At 35.3% G+C, this 17,761-nt stretch overlaps 1 protein-coding gene and 1 pseudogene across 9 annotated transcripts in view; both read left to right on the top strand.

The window, feature by feature from the left end:
* RFX7 (regulatory factor X7) overlaps positions 1–17,761 on the top strand; it is a 157,803-nt gene that overhangs the window by 48,126 nt on the left and 91,916 nt on the right. For 4 of the 9 annotated variants that reach the window (NM_001370554.1, NM_001368074.1, XM_047432949.1 and 1 more), the window contains exons 1-2: positions 7,025–7,122; positions 17,654–17,687. The exons of 1 other annotated variant lie outside the window; for it this stretch is intronic. Coding sequence is in view for 3 of the 8 variants with exons in the window: in NM_001370561.1 (NP_001357490.1) it covers positions 17,654–17,687 (34 nt within the window). In the remaining 5 variants the exon portion in view is untranslated. 4 more of the 9 variants (NM_001370561.1, XM_047432948.1, NM_022841.7 and 1 more) reach the window with 2 other exon arrangements.
* On the top strand, positions 3,649–5,373 carry LOC390586 (hydroxyacyl-CoA dehydrogenase pseudogene; annotated as a pseudogene).

Raw genomic sequence — 17,761 nt, 5'->3', positions numbered from 1 at the left:
GTTGAAGATCAACATACTGTAGTGTGTGTGCGAATATTTGTGTATGTGTCCAAGAAAAAGTCCTGCAATATGAATAACAAGATCTCCATACCAAACATTTGTTGCAATGTTGTATGTTACAGTACAGAGCTGGAAATACCGTTAAGAGCCCATTATTAAAGAATAAATAAAGCAATGGAATACCGTGCATATTAGTTTGCTAGGGCAACCATAACAAAGTACCACAGACTTGATGGCTTAATAGAAATTTATTTTATTTTATTTTATTTTTACCAGTTCTGGTGGCTTGAGGTCGAAGATCAAGGTGCCAGCAGGGTTGATTCCTTCCGAGTGCTGTATCCGTTCCATCAGATACAGCACTTGGGGGTTAGGGCTTCAACATACAAATTTGGGGAGGGGTCTGGACACACAATTGAATCCACACTTCTATGTAACAGTTAAAATGGGTAAACTAGAATGTATCAAAATAGATAAACTTCTAATGCCTATTAAGTAAATTTTTTTAAAAAAAAGAGTGATACATGCCGCAGAACTTCATGCCTGTGAAGTAAACAAAACTATTGTATTGTTTATGGAGATAGTCAGCATTTGTAGTAAATGTATATACATTCATGGGAATAATAACAACTTCTGGATAGCGGTCACCACTGAGAAAGGAATGGTGGAATGAGATAGGAAAAGATCCCATGGGGACTTTATCTGTAAAGTTTTCTTCCTTAAAGAAAAAAGGAAAAAGTTGAAGTTTGTTCAAACTGGCTAGCAGGTACATGGGTGTTATATTATTCTTTATAACTTTCCTATATATTTGGAACCTGATAATATTTTTTAAAAAGCAAAGAAAATATATGAATGAAATAATGTTATTAATAGAAGTTGAAAATTCATTTGTGTAATATGATCTAGTAATCAAATATCAGGCACAAGTTACCTTATGATAAAGTTCATTCTTCTGGCTGAAATTAGATTTTATGTTTAGAACAACAATAAAATCAATAAATCTTTATAGCATCCTATGTCAAAAGCAAGATGTTTACTTTCCATACATAAAAACGTGTGAGCTTTTGAAATGACTCATTTGTAGAGCATTGAGTTGCGTATATTAGGGAACTTCTTATAATGTAACACAATACATAGCATATGTCATTTTGTTCTAGAGCAGTGGCTCTCAACTAGAAACAAGTGGAAATAATGTGGGGCAATTTTAGCTGTCAGAATGTCTAGGAAGCACTGCTGGCATTTAGTGAACACCACTGTATGATTCCAAACATCTTATAATGCATTTGATAAACCCATAAAGTAAAGCAGGGTGCCATCCTAAATGTCAGTACCTGGTTGAGAAACACGGGTCTTTGGTTAATTTCCTTTCATGAAAAGTAGAGTCTCTAAAATTCATAAGAGCAGGCAAGTACTAAGAACAATGACTATTTCAAAGGCAACTTGGATTACAGAGAGAAACAGAATTGATAGTTTGCAATCTGTTGATTAGGCACTAGTAGTATCTAAAGGAAGTTTTTTCTTAATTTTATGATCCTAATTATTTTTTATTAAGTAAAATTAATAACATAAAAATTAACCACATAAAGTGTATGATTCAGTAGCATTTAGTAACTTTACAGTGTTATGTAGCCATCACCTCTATCTAGTTCAAGAACATTTTTCATCATCCAAAAGGAATATGCATTAAGCAGTCACTCTTCATTTCCGCAACCCCAACCAACCACTCATCTGCTTTCTATCTCTCTGGATATAGCTATTCTGGAGATTTTGTATACAGGGAGTCATACAATATGTGACCTTTTATGTCTGCCTTCTTTCACTTAGCATAAAGTTTTCAAGGTTTATCCATATTGTAGCATTTGTTGATACTGCATTCCTTTTTATGGTTGAATAATATTTCATTTTAATAATATATCACATTTTGTTTATCCATTCATCCACTTATGGTCATTTGGGTTGTTTCCTCCATTTGACTCTTGTGAACAGTGCTGCTATGAACATCAGCCCATTTGTGTAGAGGTTTTTGTTTGCATTCCTATTTTTATTTCTTTGGGTGGAATTGTTAGGTCAAGTGGTAATTCTCTGTTTTAGCTTTTTGAAGATATGTCAAGTTTTTCAAGAGCAGCCATATCATCTTTCATTCCCACAAGCAATGTGCAAGGATTCCAATTTCTCCCCATCCTTACCAACAGAATCCATTATTTTTAAGAAGACAAAGTAAGTGAATTTAAATGTCTTCATGGTGTGATTCCGAATGTTTTTTATTTCCTTTTTTTCTGGCTACACCTTTTTAGCATTAGCCACTATTATGACTATTATTATTTTTTTAAATATAAAAAATTTTGTTTTATAGCATATGAGCAAACAAAAGTAAAAGTAAATAGTTTTCATTTAATATAAGCAAGTATAAGGTAAAAATAAGTTTTGCTATGATGGACTGCGAGCCAAGTCACAACCTACAAAAGGGATCTGAAGTCAATGTGTTTTTAACGGAATTAATTATTTTATAGGGGTAGAAGCTAAGAGTTTGATTTGTCCTGGTAAGGATAGAATGTAAGAGCTTCTTCTCGTTGATCTATTATAGTATACCTCCTCTATTTCAGATTGTCTTTGGGTTAAATCTAGTATCTGGTATTCACAGATACCTCTGTTTCTATAACACAAGAAATTTGAATCAAGTATATAGGAGTTGTGAGTCACTCTGACTTCAGACTTGAGGACTCCAAATAAATGTAAAAATAGCATTGAACTTTTGGATAGAGGCTAAACTTGGTGTTGGAAGGGACAAGTGAGAGTCTCCTAGAATATTTTCTGCAGTAAAAAATAGTTTATCAATGATTTGTTGAAACTGGGGAAAGTTTCTGAAATGTTTCTAGCAAACAAGATATCTAAATGTTCTTTCTGTGATACTATTGCTTACATTGTATTATATATTATATATGTTTGGCCCATGACTGCTAATTTATTTATTGTATCATCTTTAAATTTGAATAAAGGGAAATGTTACATGGTATTTTTGTGACATTTCTTTGTGAGAAAGTAGGATTAGACTAAGTTTTTTTAATTTTTAAACACATGCTTCCTAAAATTTATTATTTCTTTTGTGTAGCCCCCCTGGATAAGAAAGCTTTATCTAGCTTCACCCTATAGTTTGATTTAGAGAAAACACAATATGCTTTCTCAAGCCATCTCTGTTGCTTAAATTTTTATCTGCTTTATTGCTGATGTTTTCCCCCTCTTCCCTACTACTTTATATCAATAACATTCTGGTAATATGACTTGAGATGTAAATCTTGAAAGATTTAGAAGATGAGTAGTTAGCATGTTCCATAAATGTAATAGTTATGATACCACAGCACAATTATGGTACTGAAATTTTGTTTTTTAAAATCTAATACCAAAATACCAGACTGATACTATTTAATTAAAATTTTTGTAAAAGTTAAAAATCAGCAAAACAGGAAGTTCAATGCCTGTCATTATCAATTATCAACAATCATCAATTTAAAAAATTAGAAAAATATTAATGTTGAGCATACATTGTCATTTGAACAAAACTTATTTGCAGATAAAATTAGTAGTATCATTTTATTCAAAAATAGAAAATGGCCTCAGAGGCTGCCCGTCTGCTGGTCCCAACACCACACGCGCCTTTCCTGCCTGGGTCTTGTTGCAGTCGCCGCCGCCACTGCACCATGGCTTTCATCACCAGGCAGTTCATGCACTCTTTGTCTTCCTTGTCCACAACCTTGGGCAAGAAAAATCATCATCAAGCACATGATGGTCATCAGCATCACACAGGTTGCTGCAGTGACCGGCCACACAGTAGTGTTGCTAGACCAGACAGAGGACATCTTGGCAAAATATAAAGAGGGAATTGAGAAAAGCCTTAGGAAAGTGACAAAGAAGTTGTTTGTAGAAAACCCTAAGGCTTTTGATGAATTTGTGGAGAAAACCCTAAGCAGCATATCAACCAGCACAGATGCAATATCCGTAGTCCACAGCACAGACCTAGTGGTAGAGGCCATTGTAGAAAATCTAAAGGTGAAAATCAAGCTCTCCAAGAGGTTGGACAAGTTTGTTGCTGAACATACAAGTTTGCCAGCAGCACTTCCTCTTTGCAAATTACAAGCATAGCCAATGCTACCACCAAACAAGACCGATTTGCTGGCCTCCATTTACTCAACCCAGTGCCCCTGATGAAATTTGTAGAGGTCTTTAAAACACCAGTGACCACCCGAAAGACATTTGAATCTTTGGTAAACTTGAGCAAAACCCTGGGAAAGCATCCTGTTCCTTGCAAGGACACTCCTGGGTTTATTGTCAGCTGTCTCAGGATTCAACACCTCATGGAAGCAGTCAGGCTGCATGAATGAGGTGATGTATCCAAGGAGAACACTGACACTGCTATGTAGTTAGGAGCCAGGTACCCCATGGGCTCACTTGAGCTTCTAGATTACGTTGGGCTGGATTCTGTGCAGTTCATCATGGATGGATGGCATGAAATAGATACAAAGAACCCCATATTTCAGCCCAGCCCATCCTTGAAAAAGCTGATGGCAGAGAAGAAGCTTGGCAAGAAGTCTGGAGAAGGATTTTACAAATACATGTGATGCTCAGCTTCTCTGGCACTGAGAAGAATCCCTGTGAGCGCTTACCAGCCAGCACCCAAAGTGCCTGTGAGAATACTCTTTGGTCAGACATTCCCTCACACAGCACAGTCTATTTGATAAGCATTTTGATTGTAATCTATCCGAAGTTATTATTACGCTAGATACAGTAGTAACAGATTCCACCATTAAGAACTAATTCCCATGTTTAGTCTGTTTATTTCTGTGTATTTTCTAAAAAGCGTTATACTGTTGGTGCTTTGGAACAAATGCTGTCATTTTTGTAAAGAATTGCCTGAATTCATTCTCTCATAAGGGGAAGATACTTGCTCTGAGAGTGAGAGTGAGAGTATATTGTGTTCATTGTTGCTGTGTGGCAGTCACAAGCCATTGGGACAGACAGGGTGTGTCTGTGGAGTGCTTCAGCAAGCAGCACCTGAATCTTGCCTTTATGAGAACATTTTGCCCCTTGCAGCCTTGAGCCTTACCCTACCTTCTGGGCACAACATAAGATGTTATATCTCCATTCAGCTGATCATCAAGACACTGCTGCTGCATGGGTGGGCTTTCCATGTGCTTGGTTTGCAGTAAGAGGTCGGTTTTCCTGGTCATTCAGTTCCACAGATCGTAATAATTACTATCTGTCTGGTTTTTTTTTCCCACAAGAAATCAGTGTTGCAAAATTGCCTATAAATGGACTAATAAAATACAGTCTTTTAGTCTGTCAAAATTTGAATTGAAATAAACATGTATAAAATAAAAATGTTTAAGAAACCCCAAAATAATAAATGAACATTTAAATTATGAAATATTTAAAAGTCAAATGTTATCTGCTTTTATAAAGTGCAGGCTCAGATGTGCATTGGTGGTTTATTATTGAGTGATACGTGTATTTTTGTGCATATCTTTCCAGCTGCTGAAAATGCTTTCTTAACTAGTTGGAGTAATGGTAAAAAGATAGATAATTGCAAATATATTCTTCTAACTCCTTTGTCTATAGGTAATTCCATTTCTTTTTTGATAACTTTGAGGTTTTGTTATTTGAAATTTTATTTACTTGAATTTTCATATATTTAATTTTTTAATCAAAGCTTTAGGAACTTATAATTTATTGACTCAAAAAGATATTACAAAACATGCTAACAAAAACCACAGTTACCCAAACCACTAACTCATTGCCTGTCAGAGAGAACCAGGTGCTTTCTCTTCTTTTACATCCCTACCTCTGTCCAGTGACAAAAATTGGCCAGAGAGGAAGGGAGCCCTACTGATGGTGAAAAGTCCAGCTTCCTGGGTTATCACAGAGGGTAGAGAGTGATTTCAAAGAGCAAACAGAAAATAGCCAGCCTAAATAGATTTAATTTCTAAGATGTCTCTTTTTAACTTTCTGAATATACTTTAAAAATATATGTATATAGTATCCAATTTGTGTTTCTTGAATGCCGTGTCTTCCCTTAACCTTTGTGAGGATTAAAATTTTGTTTTCTTTTTGCACAGTGTTATTTCTTCCAAGTAAGGGTTTCACCCCCTTTTTTCCTGTCTTTCATATTAGAGAGTTTTTTCCAGTTGTCTGTCCATCTGAGTATGTTTAAGAGTGGGGCACAAAAAGTTGATAGGAAGCTCTTCATGTGTAGATGGTGCTTCTGCTGTCTGATTCAGTAGGTCTGTAGTGGGACCCATAAATTTGCATTTTAACTAGTTCCCAGGAATACTGATACCGTTAGTCCAGGAATCATATTTTTTTAAGAACTGCTTTATTAGGGAATGCTTTTGTGATTCATATCTATGGAAGGGAATGGATGGGAAGGAAACAGCTTGGGCAGAGGTGAAGTTGAACTGTAATGCTGAAGAGTTCTGAAGATAGAATGACCAATCAAAGCTGTCCCAGGTTGGGGGAAGGGGCTGGGCCTTAATATCCCCATGTTGATTAGTGTCTAGATATGGGCTGTCCCTGGAAATTGGTATGACCTTGAGAAGTGATATTTCCTTCAGCCTAAGCAATCATACCCAAGGGTACAGACACTGAATGCTGACAGACACCCATGGCTTTGTGCTGCACTGCACTGCACTCCCAGCAGTGGACAAAATTCTTTCCTGAAAAGGGGAAATGGAGCATTGCATTATGTTGTCTGTACATGATCCTTCCCAGTGAGCAGGGAAGCCTCATCCTGAGACAGATACTTTTTCTAATTTTTCCTTTACCATGGATTAATTTTATCTACTCTAGAACTTCATATAAGTAAAATCATATAGAATGAACTTTTCTAGGTGTTTTATATGGCTCAGTATAATATTTATTAGATTCATCCATGTTCCTCTGTGTATGTATGGGTTACTTTTAATTGCTGAGTAGTATTCCATTGTGTGACTATGCCACAAAGCGTTTATTTATTCTTACATTGACATCATTTGGATTGATTCCAGTTTGGAATTATAAAGATGCTATGAACATTCTTTTTCTTCAACATCTGTTTTGTGGACATCTAGTTTGATTCCTGTTGGATAAATACTTATGGTAGGTTTATGTCTAAATGCTAAACTAGTCCAAGGTGGTTTTGCCTTTCACATTCCCACCATAAATGTATGAAAGCTATGGTTGCTTCAAAGCCTTGCCAATATTTGGGTTTTTGGAATTTTAAATTTAAGCCTCCTACTGGTGTATTGTTGCGATTTTGATTTGTATTTCCTTGGTGGCTTGGTTCCTTGAACATCTTTTCATGTGTTTATTGGACATTTGTGTACCTTTTTTGTGAAATATCTATTCCAGTTGTTTGCTCTTTATTAATTGAGTTACCTGTCTTTACTATGGAGTTGTAGGAGTTCCTTATGTATTCTGGGCATAAGTCTTTTGTCAGATATGTTTTTCGAGTATTTTATGTAGTTGTTTTTTTTTTACTGTCTTAATTGATGTCTTTCAGTGAATAGAAGTTTATTCTTATTTCGATGGGGTCTGATTTATTTTTATTTTTAGAAACAGGGTCTTGTTCTGTTGTCCTGGGTGAATTGCAGTAACATGATCAGAGCTCACTGAAGCCTTGAACTCCTGGGCTCAAGCAATTCTCAGCCTCCAAGTAGCTAAGGGCTACAGGCATGCACCACCACGCCTGGCTTTTTAAAAAAAAATTTGTAGAAATAGAGTCTCACTGTGTTGCCCAGGCTGGTCTCAAACTCCTGGCCTCAAGCAATTTTTCCGCCTTGGCTTCCCAAAGCCTTTTTAAAAATGTTTATTGCAGTGGGGCGCAGTGCCTCACGCTTGTAATCCCAGCATTTTGGGAGGCCGAGATGGGCGGATCACCTGAGGTCAGGAGTTCAAGACCAGCATGGCCAACATGGGAAAACCCCATCTCTACTAAAAATACAAAAATCAGCTGGGCATGGTGGCGTAGCTACTGGGGAGGCTGAGGCAGGAGAATCACTTGAACCCCGGAGGTGGAGGTTGCAGTGAGCCGAGATCGCACCACTGCATTCCAGCCTGGGTGACAAAGTGAGACTCTGTCTCAAAAAGAAAAAGAAAAAAAAATGTTTATTGCTTCTGTAACCCTAAGAAATCTTTGTCAGCTCTCACATCATATTCTCCTATGGTTTCTTCTAGACACTTTAAGCTTCAGCTCAAATTTTTCTATAGTATGAGGTTTGTACATTTGTTTACAGATGTGTCTAGTTACTCCACCAGGATTTGTAATAAGGATTTTCTTTTGTCCCTCGAATTGCTTTGGTACCTCTGCTGCAAATCAGTTTACTATGTAGAAGTCAGGTATCATTAGTCAGGTTTCATTCATACAACTTTTTCACTGCATGCAATGTTACTTTTTTCTGGCTGCTTTCACAGTGTGCTTTTTATCTTTGTTTTTTGATCCTTTTGACAATGTGTGGGTTTCTTTATAATTATCCTGCTTGGAATTTGCTGAACTTCTGGGATCTAGAAGTTTGTGTTTTTCATAGGATTTGGGAAGACTTTGGCCATTTATTAAACATTATATTTTTCTGTCTCATTATCTCTCCTCTCCCATTGTACATAGTTAGACCACTTGATATTGCACTTTAAATTTCTGAAGCTCTGTTTATTATTTTTAAAAAATCTTTTCTTCACATTCAATAGACCTATTGATTTTCCAGTTAAGTGACCCTTTTTCTGCCATCTGATCTCAAATTAAGGTCATCCAATGAATTTTTCATTTCAGACATTATAACTTTTAAGTTCTAGAACTTCCATTTGGTTTTTTTCATAACTTCCATTTTTCAGCTGAGATTTCCCCATGCGAACATTTATTATGACCATATTTTCCTTTAAATACTTGAACATGTTTATAATACTTGCTTTGAAGTCCTTGTCTGCTAATTCTGACACTTTGGATCATTCAGGATTTAGTGTCTGTGAGCTGCTTTTTCTCTTGACTCTAGGTCTTTTTTTCCTGTTTGTTCACTATAGTGTATTTTGCTTGTGTAATGGGCATTATCAGTGATATGTTATAGACTTTGGATTCTGTTCTTTTTCTCTGATGAGTGTTGACTTTTTGTTTTAGTAGACATCTAATGTGGCTGGATTCAAACCCCAACTTTATTTTTTCTGTGACAGGCAGCAGCAGAAATCTCATCTCAAATCCTTCCACCTTCCAGCTGTTTCTTTTTGTGAAGAACCTTGGAGTCTTCCTCAAACTAGGGTCATTCAAATACTGGGCGTAGTTCATATAGAAATTTTGGAGCACTTTCCTTTCTGGGATTTCACCTTTCACTTTTAAGCTGCCTTGGCAACCCCAAACTTTGTCCTTTTTAAGCTAGCAAGACAACAGATTCCTGCTTCAGTCTAAGTGACCATTGCCACATGGGCTGATAAGTACCCTCAGGCAAAAGCCTTATAAAAATTCTACTAGTGCACTTTGGGAGGCCGAGGCAGGTGGATTGCTTGAGCTCAGGAGTTCTAGACCAGCCTGGGCAACACAGTGAAACCCCATCTCTACTTAAATACAAAAAATTAGCCAGGTGTGGCAACATGCGCCTGTAATCCCAGCTACTCAGGAGGCCGAGGCAGGAGAATCACTTGAACCCAGGAGGCGGAGGTTGCAGTGAGCTGAGATCGTGCCTCTGCCCTCCAGCCTGGGTGACAGAGCAAGACTCCATCTAAAAAAAAAAAAAAAAAATTCTACCAGTACAGTTTTCTCATTTAAGGCTAACTTCCTTCCAGTTGCTTCCTGCTTTTGATTACTCTTTTGATTTAATGTTTGTTTTTATATTTTGTCCAGAATGTATAATTGTTATGTGTAGCAAGTTTATTTTAATATATGTTAACTTGTCGTTATCTGAAGCAGAACACTGAAGCATTATTTTAATTGAAACACTCAAAGTATATTCAGGTGTTAGTTCAGGAAACTGAAACATCCACTAAATGGAATATTACAAAAAATACATTACATTAAAAATTTGAAGACTCTTAGTAGAACATGATTTTGGTAAATTTAAATAATACCCTGCTTTGATTATAGCTGTGTTAAAAATTAGATATGTTCATGAATACATACAGGAGAGAATATGGGAAAGAAGGAAAGAGTTTATTGGTTGTAGTGGTGGAATTTGGGGGAAGTTTTCAAAAATATTCCATTAACACTGGTATAAAACTATGGTGTGTTTATTATACACACATATATGTATAGATATGTGTGTTTATTATACACACATGTATAGATATGTGTGTATATTATACATATATACACATACACACATGTATACAGTTCATAGGTATACATATAGTATATGTATACACCCATATAATAAAAGACTCCTAGACAGTATAGTTGAGCTCTTGTGGCAGGATTTTCACCCCACACTCCGGACATAAACTTTTGATAAGATATATACAGAAAGGTTATATACGTATATAAAAGCTTCAAATCAAGAAAGAGAAATTAAATTCATAGGTGCTAGTAACAAGGAATCAGGGGAGCTTACTTAAGAAAGGTCGTAAGCAGGAACTAATTTCTAAATGACCCATAGTGGTTTTCATGTCCTCATACAGACCTTAAATGCTGGGGATTGATGTCTTAATGTTCATAGGAATGTCTAGGCCACATACTCTGTGCCCTCACAAAGTAGTTGGAACTGATGAACTAAAGCATAGAACCTGAAGAGAGATTTTTACCTGTGAAATAGGACTAAAACAGGGAACCCACAGACAGACCCAGGAAGTTTCAGGTAAGCTTGCTGTTTGCTCAGGGCATGTAGAAGGGTAAAATATGAGAACCAGAGCCTTAAGCCTGTTTTGTAGATGAATGTGGAGTTTCATTTGATATAACAGTTTCCTTCTGGTACAAGGACTCTAAATCAATAAATCCGTATACAAATTGGTCTGGAACCATTAAACCCTTAGAAATTCAGCAGAGACAAATGTGAAACTGCTTCTGTAACCCACAGGATATGAGACTCCTCTGAAAAATAATCTTTGTGAAGATAAGTTCATAATTAAAAAATTTCAAATCACGAGAGAAATTAATGCCAATCCAGGTATACAGGACTTCCATGGAGAAAATATCCTCACTTAAAATGAACTCATGATTAAATTAAAAAGCATAAATTACACAAAGAAAGGGAGACTGACCACAAACTTCTCATCAGTAGTAAAAACCAGAAAACAAAAAGAAAGATGGTTTAACAAAATTAATATGCAGCAGAGTAGAGCTTAAGACAAAATGGCATTACTGAGTTTAAAGGACACTAGATCATGATTAAAGGAATATACTACCAAGAAAATGTAAAAATTATAGTCTTATTTATATAGAATGTAGTCTTAGCAGTATAGTCTTAGAGTTAAGAAGGCAAAAATTGACACTTCCAAAGAGAAATTAATAAATGTCCAGTTGTAGTTGGATATTTAACATATGTCAGAAACTGGTAGATAAAATGGCAATGAATTATTTAAACAGCATAATTAATAAACTTGATTAAATATAGATCTATATGGAAATCCCTCTAGCAGATAAATAGAGAATATAGGTTTATTTAAAGGATACATAGATTCTTAAAAAATATGACTGTGACTTGGGTCCCAAAGGAAGTTTTCATCATGAAAACCATATTCCCTGGCTGAAGTGAAAAAATAATTGGTGAGTAGTAGATAGTTTAAAAATAAAATACATACATATACATGGACATCAAATACTAAGTTACAAAATATTTAAAAGTAAATAACAAAATACTACGTAGCAAAATTTGTAGGTTCCAGTTAATGGAAATTTTTCAGGAATAGAAAGATAAAGTCTTTCTTTTGTGTGCTTATTAAAAACAAAGAACTAAGAGGAAAATGTGTTTTGTATTCAACTTTAACAGCATAAATACAAATAATGCAGAAGAAAAACAAAAAATAAAAACTGATGAGATGTCAAAAAAGCTCGATCAAGAAAACTCAAAGCTAGTTTTTTAAAAAGATACATAGATAAACCTCTTTGCCAGGTACTGTTCCTTGCGTTGGGAATATAGTAGTAAGCAAATCATACCAACTTCTGTCTTTATAAGCTAGTGGGGATGTTGGACAAACAGATAAATGCCAGTGGCAGTAATTATAATAAAGATAAATAAAGCAACGTGAATGACAAGATAGTCAGGGAAGGTTTCTAAGGAGATAACGTTTGAACCACTGAGCACAGAAAAGTAAGGGAGCAAGCCAGGCAGATAGCACTTTTGAAGAGTGTTCCTTGGCAGAGAGAACAGAAGAACAAAAGCCTTAACTATCATACTAGTAGGACTAAAAGAAGAGTGCCTTAAATTGATAGAGAACATTTACCAAAACAGATGTTACCAGAATTATTCTTGATTACAGAAAGTTTAGAAGTAAATTCTTTAATGCGGAAACAAAACAAGGATATCTTCTATCACTGCTACTCTTTATTATATTGGAGATTTTAGCCAAAGTAATTAGATAAGAAAAAGAAGGGAGAAAGAGACATAAAGATTGGAAAGGAAGAAAAATATTAATTATAAATGAAATGATTATCTACAAGAGAATCTACATACTATTAGAACTGTCCGGGCGCAGTGGCTCACACCTGTAATCCCAGCACTTTGGGAGGCCAAGGCAGGTGGATCATGTGAGGCTGGGAGTTTGAGACCAGCCTGACCAACATGGAGAAACTCCGTCTCTACTAAAAAAAAAAAAAAAAAAAAAAAAATACAAAATTAGCCAGGTGTGGTGGCACATGCCTCTAATCCCAGCTACTCAGGAGGCTGAGGCAGGACAATTGCTTGAACCTGGGAGGTGGAGGTTGCGGTGAGCCGCGATGGCATACTGCATTCCAGCCTGGGCAACAAAAGCAAAACTCTGTCTCAAAAAAAAAAAAAACAACTACATGCTGTTAGAACTAATAAGAGTTCATGAAGGTTGCTGGAGATAAGGTCAACATAGAAAACCAATAGTTTGCCTGAACATCAACACACAGATAAAATTCACAATACCATCTGTAAGTTGCCTTGTACTCTTTCTAACAAAAGATTTATTCAGAAAGGAAATGACATTTTAAGGACAGATTAAAAAAATGCAAATTATCAGTCATCTTCTCCCATTCAACCTATAACATTAATACAGTCCAAAAATAAAGTCCTACATAAAGTTTAGGAGGACTGTTGTGAAATTAGAAAACCCGATTGAAAAATTCACCTGGAAAAACAAAGGTCCAAGAATTGTCAAGACTGTTTTGGAAATGAACAAGGGGGGTCATGCAATCAAATAAATAGACCTAAATTTTATAACAGTAATAAATTTGAAGTGTGGTGTTAACTTAGGGATAGGTGAGTAGATTAATAATAAAACAGAAAAGGCCCAGAAAAAGATTCAAGCGTGTACAGAAATTTAGTATAATAAAATAGTGAATGGGCTCCCAGATGGAAGTAGTATATACTGTATATTACACTATACCATATACAAGAATAAATTCCGATTAAAGATCAAAATGAGAAAAGCTAACTTCAAAACTTTTAGAATAAAATATAGACTGCTTTTAACCTTAGCTAGATAGGATTTCTTAAATAAGACATAAAAATAACTCATAAAGGAAAAAAATTGACTAGATCAAAAATGTTAACTTTAATAAAAGTTATTAACAAAGTTAAATATGTATAATAGAATTAGTATCCAGAATATATAAAGCTTCTATAATGTAATAAGAAATAGCTCCGCTTAAAAATATGCAAAGGATAGGAACAAACAATTCATAGGGGAGAAAATCCCTATGTCTAACAGGCAGGTAAAAAGGCACACAACATTGCTAGTAATTGAGGAAAAGACAATTTTTTAAAAAAATACAATTTCATGCCCATTGGAATAGTAACTTTTTAGTATATATGTATTACCTATATCATGTATAAATGGCATATATATGCAAGGTAATAAGAAAATAGGAACTATCATATACTGCTAATGGAAGTATAAATGGATACAAGTGTTTGAGAGAAATTTGTTAATATAAAATAAAATAGAAAAAAATCATTTATAAGCCCTAGAAAATTGACTTCTAGATTTAAAGCTGAGAAATTCTTACAGGTATATGCCAAGAGACATATACAAAGACACTTATGGCAGTATCGTTTGTAGAAAAACTGGAAGCTACATAATTACCTTTCAGTAGAGGAATAGATGAATAAATTTTATTATTCATTCAATGGGATAATTTTTAGTAGTTAAAATGAATGAATTTCATTTAAGTGTATCAACATGGATGGATCTCAAAAACAATGTTGAATTAAAAAATTGTAGAAAAGTACAGTGTGATGGAATTTACATAAACATTTAAAAGCTTCACAGAACAGTGTATGTTGCTTATAGATTTTTGTTTAATACAAGTAACAACTTGAAGTAACAACTGGAAAGTTTACATATTGGATTAATGATAGTTGCCTTTGAGAAGGTAGGGAGGGGTATAAGGCTAGGCAGAAGAAAAGGGGAACTTAAAATTCATCTATATTTTTCTATTATGTTTAAGTATAAAGTAAAAATAATCAAGGGGCTAAGTTAAGTGATTCCAGGGCCCTCATCTACCAGAAGGGCTTTCAATTTTCTTTATAACTCTGTCCTTTAAAACAGCAGTCCCCAACCATTTTGGCACCAGGGACCAAATTCATGGAAGATAAAAAATTTTCCCACAGATGGAGGGGTGGGGGAGATGGTTTGGGGATGATTCAAGCTCATTACATTTATAGTACAGTTTATTTATGTTATTATTACATTGTAATATATAATGAAATAATTATATAACTCACCATAATGTAGAATCAGTGGGAGCCTGCTTGTTTTTCTGCAACTAGATAGTGGTCTCTTCTGGGAGCAATGGGAGACAGTGACAGATCATCAGGCATTAGATTCTCATAAGGACCATGCAACCTTGATCCCTCACATGCACAGTTCACAATAGGGTTCACAGGCTCCTATGAGAATCTAATGTTGCCACTGATGTGACAGGAGGCAGAGCTCAGGCAGTAATGCGCTTGGTTGCTCACCTCCTGCTGTGTGGCCCCGTTCCTAACAGGGATGAGAGTTGGGGACCCTGCTTTAAAAGGCTATCATTTACATATATTTTTTAGAGGTTTACCAAGTTGTTTGTGATAGGTGGATAGAACCATCCTCCTTAGATAATCCCATAGAGTAGTCAGTTACTGGTAGAATGAAAATATATTGAGATCTATATGTTATAAAATAAACATTTCATTTTCATACTAATTTATATAAAAACTCATTCTTAAGTGGTCCCAGTCTTTCCAAGGACTTTTTCTTCATCTGGGGGACTGAAATTTTTTTTTTCATTTATTCATTCAACAGATTTTATTGAACTCCTTACATATACCAGATGATACAGCAATGAGCAAAACAGACAAAGCCTGCTATCATGAAGCTTAAATTCTAGTCAAGGAAGATAGCTGGTAAACAAATTAATAAAATTATAACATCACTGGTGATAAGTGCAATGATGAAAAATAAAGCAGGATGAGAGCTATAGCGAGTGACTGGGAGTATTTTATATGGGGAAGTCAGGGAAGAACTGTCTGTTGAAGATAACATGGAGCAAGTAACAAAGAAAGTAAAGGGATAAGTTATATGGGAGAAAAGTCCTAGAAGCTGACAGAGCAAGCCAGTGCAGGGCCCACTCCTGCCGCGGAGCTATCACGGAGGCTGCCTGGCTAGAGCTGAATGAATGAAGAATAGACTAGTATGAGATTAGATCAGAAAGATGGCAGAGGATTGGGTCATACTGGGTTTTTATGGCCATGGTAAAGACTTTGGAGCAAAGGACTAATGTCATCTTCAAAAAGAATCACTCTGGCCACTTTGTTGGGAGTAGCCCACAGGGTGTGGTGGTTGGTGATAGGGCAAAGATAGAAACAGAGAAACCAGTTAAAAGGTTATTGTAACACCTTAGACAAGAAATAATTACTCTTTATTTTGTTTTATTTTTTTTGGAGACGGAGTCTTGCTCTGTTGCCCAGGCTGGAGTACAGTGGCACAATCTCACCTCACTGCAACCTCTGCCTCCCGGGTTCAAGCAATTCTCCTGCCTCAGCCTCCCAAGTAGCTGGGACTACAGGTGCAAGCCACCATGCTCGGCTTTTTTTTTTTTTTTTTTTTGTATTTTAGTAGATATGGGGTTTTACCGTGTTGCCCAAGCTGGTCTCGAACTCCTGAGCCAAGGCAATCCACCTGCCTCTGCCTCCCAAAGTGCTGGGATTACAGGCATGAGCCACCACGCCTGGCCAGTAATGACTGTTTAGACCAAGGTGATGAGAGATGGTTGGATCCTGGATATATTACCTTTTTAGCAGCAATTCTTAATATGTAGATTACTCTCACATCTCAGAGGAAACTGGGAGTTATTGAGAAGAGAGAAAAAATAGTACAAGTTAGGTGCCAATGAATTATAAGCTATACAAAGAGATTTTAAAACCTAAAAATCTTTTGTAGGACTGTGGGAAGGGGATTTCAGTACCTCTTAACCTATCCTTTATCCTTTACTTTTTTTTGCTCTTTTTAGTCGTTCTGAACTTTGCAGTTAAACTGAATCCAGTCATATTTTATTGTTTAGAAAATGAAATTTGAAATCTGGGTACAGGCATAAAATTTTGTTATTAATGATTGTGTTAAATGAGATTTAAATACTAATTTTTTTTATATTATAGCTTAGCTGTATGGCTACATACAAAGGCAAATAACCAATTTTGGTTTACATATATTTGGCTTTATAACTTTTTACAGAAGACAATTTGGTTTTAACATCTTTTAAAGATTGTGTGTAAACTGTTCCTGAACATTTTGCACGATTTCTTTGCATTTTCACTTTCCTATGTGTTACAACAAAATCCAAAGGATAGTTGTTTAAATTATTTTATACTGGCTTCATTTGTGTTATATATTAACAGTTCACTTATATTCAGTAGTTCAGTTAAATTGATGTATAGTGGCTTTATTGTATTATTTATTTCTAAGTGTATTTTTCTGCCCTCCCAATTTATTACTATATTAGTTAATCTTTTATTATTGCTTTTATGTCTAGGGATTCCTGTTACTGGTGTGTGTGTGTGTGTGTGTGTGTGTGTGTGTGTGTGTGTGTGTGTGTGTGTTGAGACAGAGAGAGGAGGGAACAGAATCTTTTATGTATCAAATCTTACAAGCTACAGATTGTAGTACATCGTTATGACTTTTAAGTGCTAAGCAAATTATTGTCCAGAGTGGCAGGCAGACAGTAAAAATCATAATTATTGTAAGCTCTGGGCCATACTTGTAAGTATAGTAATAAATCTGCACTTATACACTGTTAAAAATTTAATTGTTTATTCAAAATAAACTTAGGAAATGTTTTAACCATGCTTTAAGATTAAATTTAGTACAGTAAATGGGAAATAGATTTTTGTTTTGCTTTGTGAAAAACACAGATTTAGGCTACAATCCCTAATCTTAATAGGAAGCTGTATTTATTTTTTTCTTAGTAAGGAAGACTAAATTACCACATCTTTTTGAGAATATTGCAGATAGTTAATAAACTTTTCATTTTACTAACCTAACTTTCTCTTTCTTTTAGCAAAACTGTACAATCTAAAGTGGACTGCATTTTGGTAAGTGAAATAACTAATATTAAAATCCTTTTGCAATAAGGTTTTTATGACGATATAAAATATACAGTTTTCAA

The sequence above is a fragment of the Homo sapiens genome, chromosome 15 (assembly GCF_000001405.40).
Source record: "Homo sapiens chromosome 15, GRCh38.p14 Primary Assembly".
NCBI lineage: Eukaryota > Metazoa > Chordata > Mammalia > Primates > Hominidae > Homo > Homo sapiens.
The sequence above is the reverse complement of the archived record's forward strand: the minus strand, read 5'-3'. Positions and strand labels throughout refer to the sequence as shown.